The sequence below is a fragment of the Homo sapiens genome, chromosome 5 (assembly GCF_000001405.40).
Source record: "Homo sapiens chromosome 5, GRCh38.p14 Primary Assembly".
NCBI lineage: Eukaryota > Metazoa > Chordata > Mammalia > Primates > Hominidae > Homo > Homo sapiens.
This window is the reverse complement of record NC_000005.10, coordinates 155,295,295-155,314,764: the sequence shown is the minus strand read 5'-3', so window position 1 is coordinate 155,314,764 and position 19,470 is coordinate 155,295,295. Positions and strand designations below refer to the sequence as shown.

The 19,470-nt window shown below is 42.8% G+C and overlaps 1 annotated feature.

Moving 5' to 3' along the window:
- Positions 699 to 1,898: an enhancer, noted in NCBI's record as "P300/CBP strongly-dependent group 1 enhancer chr5:154692427-154693626 (GRCh37/hg19 assembly coordinates)". NCBI's record gives its function as "activates an origin of replication core promoter dependent on BRD2, BRD4, P300/CBP, MED14 and CDK7 cofactors, with strong dependence on P300/CBP, by STARR-seq in HCT116 cells {active_cell/tissue: HCT116}" and the evidence as "EXISTENCE:reporter gene assay evidence [ECO:0000049][PMID:35650434]".

The following is a 19,470-nucleotide window of genomic DNA, read 5'->3' as shown; positions in this document are numbered from 1 at the left end:
TTTATTACATCATCACTGGATGTTAACAAATACATTTATCATGTTCTAGAGTTCACCGTTCAACTGTCGTGTGTGTCTTTTCTCTTTAAATTGATTATAAGCTCACTGAGGAAAAGGGACCATATTTTCCTGCTTTGTGTTCCCTTTTGCCTACTAAGGATTATGAAATAAAACTGCAGCTTAGTGAGGACTTGCTGATGGGTCACTTGAAAATGACACCATTTGGTTGTGTCTTGCCAAACTTTTGGTAGTTTTATTAGCTTTTATTGGTCCTATCATGAGTCAAGAAAACATAATGAAACCATTATACCTAGGCTGGAACTTCTGGTTAAAAAAAAAAAAAAAAGAAAGAAAAGGTTAATTTTCGTCCCTGATAATTTTAGGAGGCCCTTCTCCTAGGAATTCACTTTTACTTGAGTGAGACCAAGGAAAGAGGAAATAGGAACAGTTATGTCTGGAAAGTGCTGGTGTAGGCCTTACAATAACAAGCTTTAAAGGATTCCTAAGATTGAAACCAACTTTGCAAAATTATGACAGTAAGAGAAATCTGACATAGTTGGTTCCATATTGTTTCTGACCTCCAAACTGTCCTTGGTCATTCCTGGTCATAAGCCAAGCTAACTGTGGGAGGAATTTCATTTATAGTTTAACTTGAAAGCAAGAATGACAAGCTACAGGAGAATCCACAAATATTTATGAAAGTATAAATCCATGCATGTGCAACTGAGTTTCATGCCTCTTCGTGGGACCCATGCCCAAAAAATGGAAGTGTTAATATGATCCAGGGTAGAGTTTTCAGCCCTCTAATGTCAAATGGTGAAGCACTAATTAGACATAAAACTAATCCCCTCCCTATTTGGGTGCTGAAACCACCTTTGTGAGACTAATGAGAGGTCGCAAGATAGGTGTAGTTTCTATAATCTCTTATTGCTCAGGGGTTGTATGCTCCTATAGATAACATCACTCTTCTAGAACCTAAGACTGGTTTCTTTTGAGATGTTTTTCAGATTCACCCCACCTGGATTTCTGACTCATGACTCAACTGATCCTGCGGCCCCACCCAAATGCAGACTCAGTGCATGAGGATTGTTTTCCATGCCTTTATGATTTCATCCCTAACCAACCAGTAGCACTCATTCCCTAGCCCCTGCTCACCAAATTGTCCATAAAAAAATCTAAGCTCCAAGCCTTCAGGGAGTCCTAAATTAGGACCATTCAAGCCTGGATCTGGTAGCAACCATCTTTCCTGACTATATGAAGGAAAGTAAAGCCATGAGATGGTGGGAGAAAGATAGTCTCCCTGGCATCATTTGAGCCACTAAATCTAGGTATGACCGCATCCTTCTCCAACCCTGTTCTTCCCAGCTGGATTTTCAAGTTTCTAGAGACATTCATTCTCTTCTCACTTAAGCCAGTATAACTCAGGCTTCTGTCACTTACACAGAAAGAATCCTGACAAACACAGATAGAATGTCTAACAAAAACAGAAAACGTACTCCATTAGAATATGAACCATATCTGTCTTGTTGTTGCTATATCTCCAGTGTGAGAAATAAAAATGAAATCCCAAGCCCCCCAGCTGGCTGAATGGACCCCTTCTTGGCCAAAGGAACCCCAGAGTAACCTTGAACACTGAGTTATTGGCCATGATGGGATGGGAAGTCAGACACGCCTCATCATATCTTCTCTCTTGCTAAGCAGCATTAGGCTTTCTTCTCTAAGGGCTCAACAGAAACCAACCCTGTCAACAGACTCCAACACCACTAATATCAACCTACCACCTGACTCTTGTCCCTCCCTTTTGTAGTTTCAACAAAATAATACACAGCATTTCTTTCTGGTAAGAGACCACCAACCATGGAGTGGTTCTGGCCAGCTGATGGAGGATGCATGGTAAGAGTTTCCAGTCCTCTGCTTCACTTTTTGACATCAGAGGGCCGAAAACTCTCCCCTTGGATTATGCTAACACTGTCATTTTTTGAACATGGGTCCAATGGAGAGGTATGAGGCTCAATTGCACATGCATACCTTTCTGCTTTCATAAATATTCATGGATCTTCCTATAGGTTATTGAATATATGTATCTGGCCATCCTGCTCAGCATACATTCCTGTTCCATTTGCCCCTCCCTTGAAGGGTCTGTTTCCAGCTTCTGGCTGGAGGCTATGCTTCCCAGCCTCTCAGAAATGGCCACCTGCAGGCTGCAACCCTTTATGAGAAATAAAGCTCTCCTTTCCAAATTTATGAACTTCATCATTCTTCAGTTTACAAGTGTTTAGCTTGATAATTATTCGGTAAATGACTGCATAAACGTCTTAGGAATCCTAAATACCTCAGCAGATACTGGCCCTGCAGAAAAGAAGCAAAAGGCCCAGCAGGCATCTGAATTATCCCCATTTATTCTTTGAGGAAGACTACCCATTTCTTCTCTTTATTCCAGTCTACTTTATGAGATTGTCATGAAAGCATCTGACAATTTATTGGTTAAATACTCCAGCTTCCTAACCTAACTCCTTCTTGGTGATTTACTCAATTTTCAACTATGCCTTGTGATTAGAATGCTTTTTGTAGTTTCTATAATATATGGCTCCAATAACTTTTGGCTCCTTCTTCATCCATCCCCATTCTCCAGCATACTCCAGACCCTCACCAAACTGTAAAGAAGTTTTCTGGTAGGATGTTCACTAGATGTTTTAAAATAACTTCATTCCCCAAAGTAGAACCCTTCAGCATGGTAACTTAGCAACATGACAAAACACCTCCACAAGCAAAAAGAAGCAGGAAAGAATTGGTCTTTTGTCATACTTACTTATTTGCAACAAGTGTGTTACTTACTGATAAGCAAAATAAACAAAGAATTGCCACCATTCATATGTTTCCTCTGCTGGTGTTGACAGCGATGTCTGTATACAAAGAGGAGGCCAACAGAGCCCATGTATGCAAGTAGGGTCTGGCAAATCCACCATATATCTGAATTCCTCAGTTAATTTTTCATCTCCACTCATCCATACAAAATACTGGGGTCTTAAAAAGAGAAAAAATATTTGGAATAAATTTTTAAATGTGATCTTTTCCCTATGCCTTGGCATCAAGTTATGGAATATGAAAGCAAAATGTTCATATGTATTCTGGGCACCAGCCGTGGAGACCTCACTAAGGTGAGAGTTAATCTATCTGATGGTACCAATACAGTGCTTGGAATTAAGGAAAACATGCTGTGGATGCTCCCTGTGTTTTAGGTCTGCATCCAAAGTTGCTAAATGGCCTTAATGAGTCACTAGGTCATTAGCAGTGGTGATGAGGAAGCATGGCAGAGAGTTGGGGCAAACATCAAGAAGCAGGTACTCCAGATAAGAGGAGTTTGTGAGGCAATGATATTTGTGCCTTCTGAGTTCACAGATCCTTTCTGATGTCACTCCACTGTACCATGGTTATCAGCCAATGAGATCATAAGTGCCATCTCAACGTTTGTTCAAAATCACGTTACACTGATAATGCAATTCCAAAATGTCACCAGAGTGATCTTCCTTATGAGCGGATGACTCCATATCACTTCACTGTTGAAAGTTCTCAGGGAATGCCCACCTCCTACAGGATAGAGGCAACATTTCTTCGCAGGGGACACCAGGCCCTTGGTGACATGGGACCTCTACACTCAGCCTTGTTTCTCACCTGCATAGTCTCACACTCATATCTCCAAAAGCACAGGCTTTCTCAACATTTCCACTCATCTCCCAGTGATTTGTCTTTATTCATTGCTTCCTTCTACTTGGCCACCCCACATCACCCTCAGCGGTCAAAGTCATACCCATCTCCTCTGAATCCTACCCTGACTCCTCTTCGCTCCACACATCCACAGGCTGGGTAAGTTCCCCTTCTTAGTGCTCTATAATACTCTATACCTGCTGCTCTCATTGCATTTGCCATGGGTCATTATAATTTTTCTGTTTACAAGCCAGTCTCCTCCACTAGACCAAGATCTCTTTCTGGGCAAGAACCACATCTTAGGCAATTCTGAATCGCCAGTGCCCGGCACAGCAATTGATATACTGGAAGCACTCAAAAAGTATTTGTTGAATAATGAATAAATTAACTTCTAATTTTTCCCCAAAGTAAATCATAATTCCCCTTAAGGCACACCCACAAGTGTGTATGTGTGTGTGTGTGTCAGAGAGAGAGAGAGAGAGAGAGACAGAGTATAAACATACACATGCATATGAGTGTGTAGGCACACATACACCTTATTACAACTTTTCAAAAGGAAAGAAAGGAATTATAAAACAAGACAATCTCAGCATTAGAAAGTATAATACCTTGTTAAAGGCTAACCTTTTTCTATATGTACACTAATTCCTTCTGTATCCAACCCAATAATTCATGTCCAACTTGTACATCTTCAGTGACTGATGGAGAACTTACAACCTCCAAAAGCAACCTTTTCTATACTCAGGCTACTCTGAGTGTTAGCAGGTTCTTGCTTATGATGAGCTGAAATTTGCATGACTGTAAGTTCCACTGACTCCCTGGTCCTAGCTCTGTTTCCTAGAACTACACAGAGCAAGTCTAATCCTTCCCACATGGCAGCCCTTCAAATATTTAAAGAAGGCAAATCTTCTCTTCTCCAGAGTAAACACCACAAATTCTTTAAACTAACACCCAGACATTTGAGTTTAGAGTCCCTCTCACAGTCCTGGTCATTCTTCCTGGACATACTCCAGAATCATCCCTCAGGATCATCTGTTAAAAGCTGTACAGGTACATCTTGATATGAATTCTAATTCTTCAGCTTTAGTGAACATTAAAATCACCTGGGGCACTTGTTAAGAATGTCCCTTGGGGGACTCCACCCACAGAGCTTCTGATTTCATGAGTATGCAGTGGATTTTAGGAGTCTGCATTTTAATAAGTTGCTCAGCCAATTTGGATATGGGAGGTCCAGAGACAACTCTTCAAGAAACATTAATTTAAGATGTCACCAATCTGTTTTCTCTTCTGCAAATGGGGGTCAAATCAGTCTTCCTCTCAGATCACAAGGTGAACTGAGACCTAACTCCTAAACTGTTTACAAAATACTGCTAAATATTGAATGCACATTAATAATAATGAAATGGGAATCAGGCATCCACTAAGCCTTCACATTTAGCAAAAAAAAAAGAACTGCCAGATGGTGTCCCTTCATGAGAGACTGAGTTAGAAAGGTTGGTCTAGGGGGTGAGAGAGCAGATCTGATGTTCTTCATTGTTCCAAATGGCAGTCTTTAAAGCAACATAAAGATAAATGACCTGCTCTCTCTGTTTTCTGAATGTGTCATGGGAAGTCTTTTCCATTCCATAAATAGTTATATTAGCAAATCAAATAAGCTAGTGAAACAGGCAGAATCCCAGGGAAAAAACATACCAGTGTTGTTTCACTTCATTAACGTTATTACTAAATTATTAATTGTCACTGTTGATGAAATCTACTTAAAGAATATATTTAACGAGTCATGGTGGCTCTCACGTGTAATCCCAGCACTTTGAAAGGCAGAGGCAAGAGGATTGCTTGAGCACAGGCGTTCAAGACCAGCCTGAGCAACACAGCAAGACCTTGTCTCTACAAAAAATATAATATATGTAAATATATACATCATAATTAGCCAGGCATGATGACATGTACCTGAGGCCCCAGCTACATGGGAGGCTGAGGTGGGAGGATTGCTTGAGCCCAAGAGGTCAAGGCTGCAATGAGCCATGATAATGCCACTGCACTCCAGCCTGGGCAACAGTGGAAGAACCTCATCTTAAAAAAAAAAAAAAAAAAAAAAAAAAGAGTATCTTTCTATTTAAGTTGTAGAGAATGAACTATAGAGAGTAAGACAGCATAAAGACATTTCCAGGCAGAGTGGCAGGACTCAAATGCTGCTAAAAGCTCAGACTCCAGAATCAGACAGTACTGAGTTTGAATTCTGGCCTTTCCATTTACACCTTGAAGAAATTACTTAACTCTTTAGAGCTACCATTTTCTTATCTGTATAATGGGATTTTTAATGGTACCAATGTCGTTGGGTTGTTATAAAAAACAAATAATAACAAAGCAACTGGTGTGGTAGAAGGTCCCAACTTATTAGGTGTTATTTATTTCCATATCTATGTATTTATGTGTTTATTCATTAATTTATTGCTTTTTCCTTTGCCATACAATACTGTATGGAATCAGTCATCAAACTACTACTCCACTTCACAGATGAAGACACTAAGGCAAAGGTATGGTAAATCACCATGGAAACAAAATCCAGGTCATTCAGCCACCAGTCCAAAGTTCCATTTCCCACCATCCTCCTGTCACAGTGTCACCCTGATGTCAACAGAGCAAGGGGAGCTTTTCAAAGCAAAGTGGACTGGTGCCCATCCTGGGGGAGCTAGAACAACATAAGAAGAAAAACTATAGATGTAAGTTCCATTTTCTTCTGTGCATTCATTTATTCCTTCATTTCCCCATTTCATAAATATTTATTGAGCCTTTTTCCAGTGACTTGGGGACACTGGTGAGTGAAACAAACCAGATAGTCTTTGCTCTTGCTTTACTTATGTCTCTGCTCAAATGTCACCTCATCAAAGAAGCTTCCCTGACCAGTCATCCTATCCAATAGAGCAGCCCCCTCCCTGCGACACTCCTTACCTGTCTTATGTTTCCTCCATTCCCTCAAATAATATGTTTTAATTTATTTTATTCCCTCATCACCAACTATAGAATAAGCTCAGTGAAGTCAGGGACCTTCTCTAGCTTGTTCACTTTTGTATCCCCAGCTTCAAAATGGTGCCAGGCCTACAGTACATGCTCCACAAATATTTGTTGACTAAATAAATAGAGTGGGCAATCTTGAAGGGGGAAGAGGCAAGGAGGGAGAGGAAGGATGAAGTACTAAGAGGAAAATCCACTGAGGTCGGGCTAGGAAAGATAACCAGCCGTGGAGACCTCCCTGAGGTGAGAGTTAATCCAGTGGCCATGTGCCTTCATGCACAGCCAAGGGAACTACCCTTTAGCCCCCTGAGTTGCCTTATGCCTGTCAGTGACCGTTCCAAACTGTGGCTGACTCCACATTCAACAAGCAGGAACAATTCTCCCCTGTCAGATGCCTCCCAGGACTTAGCATACTGAAGATGCTAAGGGCCGAAATCGCAAGATAGACCTGGCTGGGATGTGATACTTAAACAAAATGCCCTCATAAAACCCACTGCATGCACCACTGAAATTACAGCCAAGAGAGGATTTAAACCTTGGCTTTCAGCTGGAGAAGGCACACAGCTCTGCGATAGTTTGGTTATGCTCTAATTAGTCATTAGCATACAGTGCAGGTGTCAGGTAATCTGCACTTACTAGAAAGAAATCTGCAAGTAGCAACAAGCATAAGGAAATACCAGGAAGCCATGGCAGCCCTTGGAAGAAATCTGCCATACCCTGTGCCAAATGCAGATGGTGCATTGATATAGAACTCAAAGGGTCACAGTGTATTAGAGGCCAGGGTAGGGAAAGTAGATTTGATGATCAGCTAAATAAGTGAAGTCAGTTTCCAAGCCAGCATGTGCAGTGCAGCATCTCTAGGAAAGGCTGCCTTTATACTCCCTATGGGGTGTACCAGGAGAGGGAAGACTTCCCCCACATCTCCCATTTTACTAAAACACCAGACGGCATAAAGGGATCACCACAAGCTCATAGTAGAAAAGCAAAGCAGGCAGAGCTGGAAAAGCAGCTCAGATAGGGTCAGAGTTAACCACGCAGGGATTATGACACCCTCTACCACCACCACCTCCCCTCCCATCTACCTGAAAATACATTTCCTGAAGTCTTAGCCACAACACCCCATACTCCAACAGCATTCACAACCCGAGATTAAAGCCACCACACTCTACGCCAGAGTCCAAGGATGGTGCCCCCGCTCTGATAAATGGTGGACAACTAGCCCAGGTGACTCTCCAACTCTAAACCTCTATTTCCTCATCCCTTTCATTGCTGGTAAACAGCATTATAAAAGCCAAAGTACAGAGTTTTCAGGAGAGATAACAATTTCATACAAGATAATTCATATTAAGCCATCAGCACTCTACCTGGGATTCATTTATAGGATTAGCTTTGAAAAACCTATGAGGCTGAATAAATGAAACCAAGAACAGGTAAGTTTTAATGAAAATTCAGACGACTAAAATGTGGTCCACTGCTGGGGAGAGCAGGCCTAGGCACCGGCCCTAAGCAGTCTTAGATGACAGAACAACACTGGGAAGCTGGAGATGGGCCCAAAGAGGGAGGCACAAATCAGAAAAGCATCACCATCTTCATCGCTTTGCCAATAGCATGCCCTTCCCTGCACACCCTCTTTGGGCCTCAGTCTTTTCATCTACAAAATGGGCAAAACACAAACCACTTGTTAAGGTTGGGTAAAGATTAAGTTAAGGAGCATTTGTCAAGCTGGTAGAGAGCTTGGTACAGAGTAGACATTCCATAAATAAGTGCAACCTTCTCTTTCCTTATCACAGGAGTGGCTAATTTAAAAAAAAAAATCATAAGAAGACGATGACAGAGTAAGCACACAGAAAGAAATCTGAACCCTGAACAATGAAGACTAACTTTTTTTTTTGAGACGGAGTCTCACTCTGTCACCCAGGCTGGAGTACAGTGGTGCGATCTGGGCTCACTGCAAGCTCCGCCTCCCAGGTTCATGCCATTCTCCTGCCTCAGCCTCCTGAGTAGCTGGGACTACAGGCGCCCGCTACCACACCTGGCTAATTTTTTGTATTTTTAGTAGAGACGGGGTTTCACCGTGTTAGCCAGGATGGTCTCGATTTTCTGACCTCGTGATCCACCCGCCTCGGCCTCCCAAAGTGCTGGGATTACAGGCGTGAGCCACCGCGCCTGGCCAATGAAGACTAACTTTTTATATACAGCCCAAGATGCAAGACAATTACTTTAAAATCATTCCTCTGGAGAAGGCAGGCAGCTTAGAGATGGGTAGATGGAGCCTCCCCCACATTGAGTCAAGGTATCTGGGTCTGAAGCATCTCAGGCTTGCCTGAGGTAGACGAATGTTCCCACCTTATCAGTGTATTTCTCTTCTAATTAAAATGCATGAACTCCTGTAAGCTCCAGATGCCCAGGGGAAGGAGGGGGGCAGCAGGAGGGGAGGAGAAGAGAAACAAACTCCGAGGATCCTCTTTCGTTTAAAATCCAACTTTAAAAATTGTATTGCTTAAAAATGTAAGCAACTGACCTCACCAGAGCATTCTCTATGGAGACACAGAGACACTAAAGGAGAAGGAAAGATAAAAAACAAGAACAGATGCCTAGAGGCACTTCCCCCAATGAGGTGGGGCTCCTTATGGACTGGTAGCACCCAGTTCCTTAAGACGAATCTTTCTATCTCAGCTGCACTTCCCAAGTGATAGTACGGTAGGGCACCAAGAAGTAGTTTCCATAAAAGGACTATGGACTATAATAGTACTAGTTAACCTTTACTGTGTAATCCCTTTGTGCCAGCACTTTGAATTCATCATCTCATTTAGTTCTTACAAGAATTCTTTTACTATTATTATCCCCACTTCACAGATGAGGAACCTGAGACACGAAGAAGGTAACTTTCTTAGCCCTTATAGCTAATAGATGGTAAAGATGGGATGCAAACCCTAGAAATGCAATAATAATTACTAACATTTATTGGGCACTAACTAAATGCCAGATGATGCAAATACCTTCAGTTCAACATTTCATTTAATCCTTATAACAAACCTAGGAGGTAGCTGTTGTCATGATATCCATTTTACAGATAACTAAGCTAAGTTCAGAAACTTTGGTGCCCCACTCAAGGTTACACAGCTGGTAAGTAGTAGAAACAGGACCCAAACCCAGAACTCAAATTCATCTAGTTGAAGGTCATACTCTACACACCACACCAACTAGACAAATAGCTGAGTACAAAGAAGAGGATGCAGGGTCTTATAATGGAAATATCATGGGTTGCAGAAGGCTAAGGGGCAGGGGGAGATGAATTTAACAAAGGCCATTATGAAAGGCTGCATTGAGAAATGACCTTTGTTCAGGACCTTGAATTATGCCAAGGGTAGCAAGCCTGTCAGCATAACGCATTCCAAGCAGAGGAGGGTTTGCAACAGGTGGAGAGGGCCATATCCATTGAACAAATATGGAGTCATCCAGGGCAGGCTTTGGCCCTCATTGCGATCATCTGCAGGACTTGTCAAAGCTCAGACTACTGGACCCCATCCCCAGAGTTTCTGAATCCAATAGATCTAGGATGGGACCCAAGAATCTGCCTTTCTTACAAGTTCTCAGAGGAAAATGATGTTGCTGGTCCAAGAATCACACTTTAAGAACAGGTGATCCAGGAAGCCTGGCATGAAAGATGAATGTGCAAGTGGGAGGAAGATGAAATGCAATGGAGATGAAAATGGGGAGGAAAGAGATGGAAATACTTAGAGAGCAGCTGCTCTGTGGCACACACTTTATAAGATACTTCATAGCACAAGGCAGTTTGAGGCTCTGACATCACCCCCTGTACAGATGAAGTACTTTTTGACCCAGCCCCTGTCCTCTGACCAACCCAGGAATCTTCTCTCCAAACTCCTCCTGAACTTGGAGTTAGATGTGCTCTCCCCTCCAAAACCAGCATCACACGGCATTATAAAGACTTGTTTTATACGTGTTTCCTCCTCTATGCAATGTTAGGCTTAAAATTAAGGTCCAATATTATGTGCCCCTTTGACATCTGAAACCAGGAGGGCTTCAAATGACCAATCACAAATTACCCTCCCAACACTGCCCCCACAGGTAAGGTCCTACTGATCAAGGGAGACCAGATGCTGTTCTTCCTGATTCCAGAGTAGTAGCTTCCAGTTCCTGGCCAGCCCATGGAATTATTCAAATAAGCCAATCATATCCTCCTATGGGAACCGAGGGGCACCACACCCTCTTGATACTACAAAGCCCACCTCTCACTGACCCTGGTTGTTCACTCTTTTCCCAACTACAACCCCCTAAATGAGCATATATGACTAATAAAATGCTGTTGATGCTATTTGTCCAGTGTCCGGTGTTATGCATTCAGTCATCTCCATAGCCCTAGGGTGGGAATCCTTCCACTGGGGTGAAAAGAAGTGGATTAAAACACCCTAGATGATGAGCCCCATGAGAGGAACATTCTGTCCATCTTGCTCATTGTCCTCTCCATAGCCTGGCACAGCCCCACAGCGTGGCAACAGTGAATTAAAGACACATGGTATTGAGTTGCTTCAAAACCTCATAACCACCCTCCCAGCTCTTTTTTTGACCAATGGAGGAACTGAGACTGGAGGGTTGACATAAGTTGCTGGGCCTGCTGTCGGCCCACAGCTGAAGGACAATGTCAGGGGAGAACACAGAGTTTCCCTTGCTGGTAAACAGGACCCTGGAGGCAGACCCATTCACTCTGTGGGCAACCCTGTCACACCAACTGCACTCCAGTTCAGGGGCTCAGTGGCTACAGGAAGCTGCCCAGGGTGGTTTCAAACCACCTTCCTTTTCTGCCTAAGCAAGTGCAAACATGAGCGGTTGGGCCTGATGCAATCAAAAATTTCATCTCCAGGAAGCTCTGTTCGAGGCACATGACCTTTGTGTATATTCTCATAATTCCAGAAGTAGTACATGGTGAGTTCTAAGAGGGTTGGCCAATGTGCAAAAGCATCAGGATGAAGTGCTTTGAATCTGAGGTGCCTTGATTGTACACCAGGAGTGACGCCAGGGAATTTGGGATCTACTCAGCCCTTACCAAGCTCATACCATAAAAATCATGCAGCAACAACCATGACCTCCACTTCCTGCAACCAGCTCTGTAGAAGGCTCAGTGCGTACAATATGCCATTTAATTTTTTATGTCTTTTTTTTTTTTTCTTTTTGAGACAGGGTCTTGGCTCTATTGCCCAGGCTGGAGTGCAGTGGTGCAATCATAGCTCACTGTGGCCTCAACCTCCTGGGATCATCAAGTAATCTTCCTGCCTCAGCTTCCCATGTAGCTGGGACCACAAGTGTGCACCACCAAGCTTGGCTAATTTTTTATTTATATTTATTTATTTATTTATTTATTTTGGTAGAGACAAGGTCTCACTTTATTGCCCAGGCTGGTCTCAAACTCTGGCCTCAAGTAATCCTCCCGCCTTGCCCTCCCAAAGTGCTGGGATTACAGGCATGAACCATCATGCCCGGCTGCCATTTAATCTTCATGGCAGAGCTGAGAGGAGGGTATCATGATTCCTGTGTCACAGATGAGGATTCAGAGGCCACAAGGCCTTCGTTTTGGAGGAAGACGAAAGTCAAAGAACACAGTGAGTAGCACAGCTAGGGTGTGAACCCCAGATTTTGTGGCTCCAAAGCCTGTGCTACAAATGTTGCCTTTGTGTCCTGGGTATGACGGAGGGGGATCCAAGACAACAGATGGCACAAAGTTTGTCTGCTGAGAATTTACAGCCTACATAGAGAAGAGAGAACACACACAGGGAAAAACAACTTAAGAGATCTTATAAAGCAACATACAAGGAGGCTGGAAGTCTCTTTTCCCACTATGGAAATGCTGCATTTGCTCACACCAAGTGACTTCTCTTTGGGGGTAAAAAAATTAGTATGAAACTTGCAGGCCTATTTAAAACAACATTAGTAAGAAAAGCAGCTAATATTTAGTGTGTTTTCCTATGTAACAGACACTGATAAGTGTTCCTAGGGAAAACTGAAGGCCCATTTAGAATAATAATACTTTCTTTCATTCATCAAGCACTTCATTATATACCAGGTATTGTTCTAAGGGCTTTACATACACTATCTTACATATAGTCTCAAAATGACTTTAAGAGATCATGGAAGTATTTGTTCCATTTTACAGATGAGAGTTAACACAGAAAGGTCAAGAATGGAATTTCAAACCAGAGTTTGTGACCCATTTCTGTGTTTTGAATTTAATTCAGGAGGTCATGACAAGCATTGTTTTAAATAAACAGATGAGAGAGGAAAGACTATAGGAGGTGGGAGGGGAATGAAATGAAACAGAACATATCAGAATGCATTACATGTGGTAAGGGTATTATTTCATCCATTTTATCTGTATGTGTATGTGAGTGTAAAATGTTATAAAATGAAATGATTACAGCAGGTCTCTGTGGAAGGTCTGAAAGCCACTTTGCCAGGAGTCACATAGCCAGTGATTTGCAGCCAGGGTTCAAATCTAGATAGACTATCTCCAGAGCCCACACTCTTCACCTCTAAACCAGTGCTGTACAGTAGATATATAAAGTAAATCTACACATGTAATTAAAAATGTTCTAGTAGCCACATCTAAGAAGTTTTAAAAGCCACATTAAAAATTAACTATTAAGGCCAGGGGCTGTGGCTCATGCCTATAGTCCCAGCACTTTGGGAGGCCGAGGGGGTGGATCATGAGGTCAAGAGATTGAGGCCATCCTGGTCAACATGGTGAAACCCCGTCTCTACTAAAAATACAAAAATTAGCCGGGGGTGCTGGCGCGCACCTATAGTCTCAGCTATTTGGGAGTCTGAGGCAGAAGAATCACTCGAATCCGTGAGGCGGAGCTTGCAGTGAGCCGAGATCATGCCACTGCACTCCAGCCTGGTGACAGAGCAAGACTCTATCTCAACAAATAAATAAATATTAACTATTAAAATTAATTTTAATTATAAGAACACACGGACACATAGAGGGGAACAACACACACTGGGGCCTATCAAAGTGTACAGGGTGGGAGGAGGGAGAGGATCAGGAAAAATAACTAATGGATATTAGGCTTAATACCTGGGTGATGAAATAATCCATACAACAAACCCTAATGACACACGCTTATCTATGTAACAAACCTTCACATCCTACACATGTGCCCCTCAACTTAAAAGTTAAAAAATATTAATTTTAATACATTTTATTTCACCCATCAAAAATATTATTTCAATATGTAAAAATTAATTCTGAAATTAAATCAATAAAAAATGAGGGTTCTTTTAAACTTTTTTTGTACTAAGTTTTGGAAACTTGGTGTGTATTTTACATTTTCCGCACATCTCAATTCAGACTAGCCCACCTAAAAAAAAATGCTCAGCAGTCACAGGTAGCTAGTGACCACCACATTGGACAGTGCAGCTCTAAACTATGCTATATCGAATATCCCCTTGGGCCCAGGTCCTGGTCCTCAGATTTCACCACAGGGGAAAATTCTCTGTCATGTGTATATATATATATATATATATATATATATATATATATATATATATATTTTTTTTTTTTTTTTTTTTTTTTTTTTTGAGATGGAGTTTCACTCTTGTTGCTCAGGCTAGAGTGAGGTAGTGCAATCCTGGCTCACTACAACTTCCGCCTCCCAGGTTCAAGTGATTCTCCTTCCTCAGCCTCCCAAGTAGCTGGGATTACAGGCACCTGCTACCACGCCCGGCTAATTTCTTGTATTTTTAGTAGAGATGGGGTTTCAACATGTTGGCCAGGCTGGTCTCAAACTCCTGACCTCAGGTGATCCATCCGCCTCAGCCTCCCAAAGTGCTGGGATTACAGGCGTGAGCCACTGCGCCCAGCCTTCTCTGTCATATTTCATTCATCCCGGTTAACTCCCAGTGGCCTCCTCCTTCAAGTAGTTCCAGAATATTTAAACCCAAATGCAATGTCCATTGTTATTAGTTTCTGCTCACCTTGGCTACTTTCAGATGTCATATCTTTGCTAGGCTTTGAGGGAGAAAAGCTGGTGGGAAAGGCAACCACAGCAAAGGTGTGCTGGAACAGGGTGGGGACAAAGACCCCGGATAGTAGGAACTGTGTGAAGTGTTGGTCTCCAGTGAGTTGTTTGCAAAGCTACAGGCTCACTGGCAGCCGAACACCAGCTTTTAATAGCACATTCTCCTGTTCAGTTTTGCAGACACACTCTTGATACTTCTCACTCAGCTCTGACAGAAATCAGCTGACCCCATTTCCATTTGTTTGCCAAAATAAGCAAACCATGGAATTGCAAAAAGACTGGCGCCTGGACAGTCATTGAAAGAGGAAACAGCTATAGAGGGACTTGAGAATTACCCATTAGACACTCTGATAAATATCACTTCTAAATATGCGGTAACCATGTTTCATGACAGCCCTGCCAGGATCACAGTGCTCCAAGGCCCAAGTGGCCATGACCTAAGGCGCTCCTGTGAGGTGAGGGAGCTTCATGCAGACACGTGGAAGGGTAGTGCTTCGGTGTCCAGCTGCTGCCAGGGCTGGGCAGCCAGGGCAGACATCCTCCTGCTTCCTGCACTTCGCAGCATCTCCTGGCCCTGCAACCATTGAGGCCACTGTCATATATTGAGGCCCAGAGTGCTTGTCAGTCCATTGATCTGGTTTTCAAAGGGACTGGCAATCCTCACACTGTATGGGAGAGGGGTAGCCTCACCATGGGGAAAACAAAGCTGGGACTGAGAGAAAACTGTCAGTCACTTCTGCCTAGGTAGTGTGGCATCACTCCCTCAGACTGAGAAATGAAATTGTGAGTCATGAGGGGTTTGTTTATGGCAGTGGAAGAGATCAAAAGTTCTTCTACCTTTCACCGGCTTCCCATTTACCAAGCAAGTTCTGTGTGTCAGGCCCCCTAGCTGGGTCCTGGGTGCTCAGATGCACTGCTTGCCCCCCTTGCAGCTGGGAACTCACACACCAGCCAACAAAATAGACTGCAGAGAGCACAGCATAGCCAGGGCTGTGGGAGGGGGGCAAACCACATAGGGTGGGGACTTGGAGGAAGAGATAATTAATGTGGCTGGGGAGGGTCAGAGATGAGCAACTAGTGCATATGGGATCCTACAGCTGGTTCCTTACAATTTAGGAGCACTTCTGAGCATTGTATTGAATCTCATAATTTCATTAGGTTCAATAGGATATACACTTCAGCACTGAGGAAACTGAGGCCCAGGCATCAATGTACTCATTCATAAAATAGGAATAAAGCTCAATATGAGGCATAGATTGGACACTGGATAAGGGATAGCCAAGCATAATTATTCGATAATAGAGATGCCTGACCTGTCTACTCTGCCCTCCTGCATCCCTGCAAGAGAAGCTGCCCCACCCCCACACCACAGTCTGCCTCACAGCCTCTGCACAGGACAGCCACCACATGACCATACCTATCAGAGTCTCTTCCCTAGGAACAGGGAACTGAGACCAGACACTTATTTTACTCTCTATGGACCACCTGGGCTGAGATGTTATGGAGAGCTACCTAGACAGCTCTTTCCCCCACATTCATGAAGAAGCAAAATTCAAGTCTATTTATAATAGCCAAAATGTGGAAACAACCCAAATACTCATCAGCTGATGAATGGATAAACAAAATGTGGTGTATCCATATAATGGAATATTATTCAGCCATGAAAAGGAATAAAGTACTGATAATCTACTATAACACAGATGAGCCCTGGAAACATTATGCTAAGTGAAAGAAGCCAAACACAAAATGCCACAGGTAATAGGATGATCTTTACATGAAATACCCAGAATAGGCAAATCCAAGAAGACAGAAAGCAGATTAGTGGTTCCCAGGTAGTAGAACGAGGAGGAATGAGGAATACCTGCTTAATGGATGTGGGGATTCATTTTGGGATGATGAAAATGTTCTGGAACTAGATAGTGGTGACATGCCATTCTTTTGAAAAAAAAACTGGTTTCAGTAAGTTTGTGTCCCTCATAACTAAAAATCACTAAAATATAAATGGGTATATTAATGCCTTCTCTAGGGCGCACAACTGTTAGAATCCACAGCCTGGACTCGGATCGTTGGTCCTGTGTCCTGCTGATTGCCAGTCTAACTCCTTCGCCACACTACTTCCTTACTTAACCTGGAGGGGAAAGACTTTTGCGTCTCTTAAGGAGAAAGCTGGCTGCTTCCCAAAACCTGCCAATGGGTGGTAAGCCCCCATCCAAGTGCGTTTACTTTGGGTCCTGTCAGCAAAAAACAGACTTTATTAAGAGGATGTTAGCAGACCTCTTTGCTTCCCTGCTTTTGTGAGAATTCTTAATGGCTCCAATGTGCATATGTCGTTTTTCAGCAAAATCTAGTATTTATGTCATTTCCAGGGGAAGAACATTTGCAGCCTTTGTAATACATCACTTCTCATCGTTTTGCTCCACAGCACAGGATGGACAAATCGCTCAGGTATTTGTCAGTATACCTTCCCTCACCCACTTCCGAGGTGCAGGGTTAGGCACATCGTTCACAGAGACGGAAAAGGGAGTGAGATGCCAGGACAAATACTGAGCCAACATGGCCAACATTTCCTGATCTGGCATTTTTTAGAATCCTGGATCTAGAAGTAAAGATCTTGACAGTTTAAAAAGTCATAGAACTTTTGTATTTTTTTTAAGTCAAACCTTTGATTTAGCTATAAAGTTTTAATGTTTAATATTTATGTAAAGTCAGTGATTCCTGTTGTTACAGCTTAAATTATAATATAAATAGCTAATGTTTAGAGGAGCAAAGACAGAGATAAAGATGGTGGGGTGGGTATGTATCGCCTGCTTCCAAGTTACTTACAAGAAGATGAGGGTGTGTGCATGTGAGAGTGTGGTAAGTTCCAGGTACACACTTTATGTGCATTATCTCATGATCTTATCTCACTTTTTGTGCATGATCTCAATACCAGTGAATGGTATTGTCCTCCCTTTGCAGATAAAAAAACTGAGGCTGGCCGGGCGCGGTGGCTCACGCCTGTAATCCCAGCACTTTGGGAGGCCGAGGCGGGTGGATCATGAGGTCAGGAGATCGAGACCATCCTGGCTAACAAGGTGAAACCCCGTCTCTACTAAAAATACAAAAAATTAGCCGGGCGCGGTGGCGGGCGCCTGTAGTCCCAGCTACTCGGGAGGCTGAGGCAGGAGAATGGCGTGAACCCAGGAAGTGGAGCTTGCAGTGAGCCGAGATTGGGCCACTGCAGTCCGCAGTCCGACCTGGGCGACAGAGCAAGACTCCGTCTCAAAAAAAAAAAAAAAAACAAAAACAAAAACTGAGGCTAAGGTTTCAGGATCTGCCCCAGGTTCCAACATTAGATTAGTGAAAGAGACAGTTCTGATCTCAAAGCTCCATATTCTCAATCACCATAATATAATAAAATGATTATATCATAAATATTTTAGAGTCACATATTGAGCGGAAGACAAAGTGCTTTTCAGCACTTTATAATTTGCAAAGTGATTTCACACTTAACATTGCTTTACTGTACAGACCGTGAAAGCTGTAGCACTTCTGAGATGAAAGAAATGATAAGGGGCTGGAGACAACACCTAAGATTCTATAGATGGCATGGCCTTCAGAGCATGGGTTATATTTTAATAATTAGCAAGAGAGTGAGGAAGGCAACATAGGATTGGGAAAACAGCCTCCAGGTTGCATATCTCCCAAAAGAAACTGGAAGTATGGGAGGTGGATAATAAATAGCTGTTTGGGTGAGGTATGATTCTGGTCTCTTAATTCCCAGTATGGAATATAATCACTGATGAAGTGTCACAGAGACACTTGCTTTGGGCTTCCTTCTTCATGGGCAGCTGATGATGATGATGATAGTGCCAGCTACCATTCACCAAGCAATTTAAACTTGAGGCAATCACTAGGCTGAGCACTCATGGTGAATTATCTGTTTTGATTACCTCCTCTGGTAACCAACCACAATTCTCCTGTGGGTAATCACATGCACACATTTTCAGGCTACATGGTTCTCTCAAAGCTGAATACAAGCCCAGTTCCTAGGGTGAGTTATGGGACCCAGGTCTATGACAATTGGAGCATCATATATGAATGAATACTGGCCTCGATATTGGTTCAGAGATGGACATGATAACCAATCAGAGCCAATAATATGACTTTTTCCCTGAAAGGAAACAGGGGTTGGAACTACCACTGCTATCTTATTAAAGGTACAAAGTTCAGATAACACTGTCTGAGCCTGGAATCCAGCCGTCGCCCCAGACTTTTGCATTTTGGTGACCAATAAATTGCCTTTTTGCTTATGCTGATTTGGGTCAGGTGTTCGTCGTTTTCAACGGAGGAAGCCTTAATCAATATAAGCACTTACAAATACCTCAGTTAATCCTCACAAAAATACCATGAGGTAGGTATTATTTATATGGTATTGTTTTCTCTCCCACCCCCCATTTGTTAGATGAGGAATTGAGGCTCAGGGAGGTGACATCAACCTGCCCAGCTGGTAGAGGCAGGATTTGAACCCAGACAGTGTAGTTCTAGAGCCAGCATTCCTAACCACCTCAACAGTTGTCTGGAGTCTAAGTCTGCTCTTATGAAACAGGACTCTCCACAAGCCCCACATAAGCCTTTTGACTCAAAATAGTTCTGAAGGCTTAAAATACCTTAAAGAGTGTAAATTTTCTCAAGCTCCTTTAGGTTTGCAATGATCCCTTTTTGGCTTCCG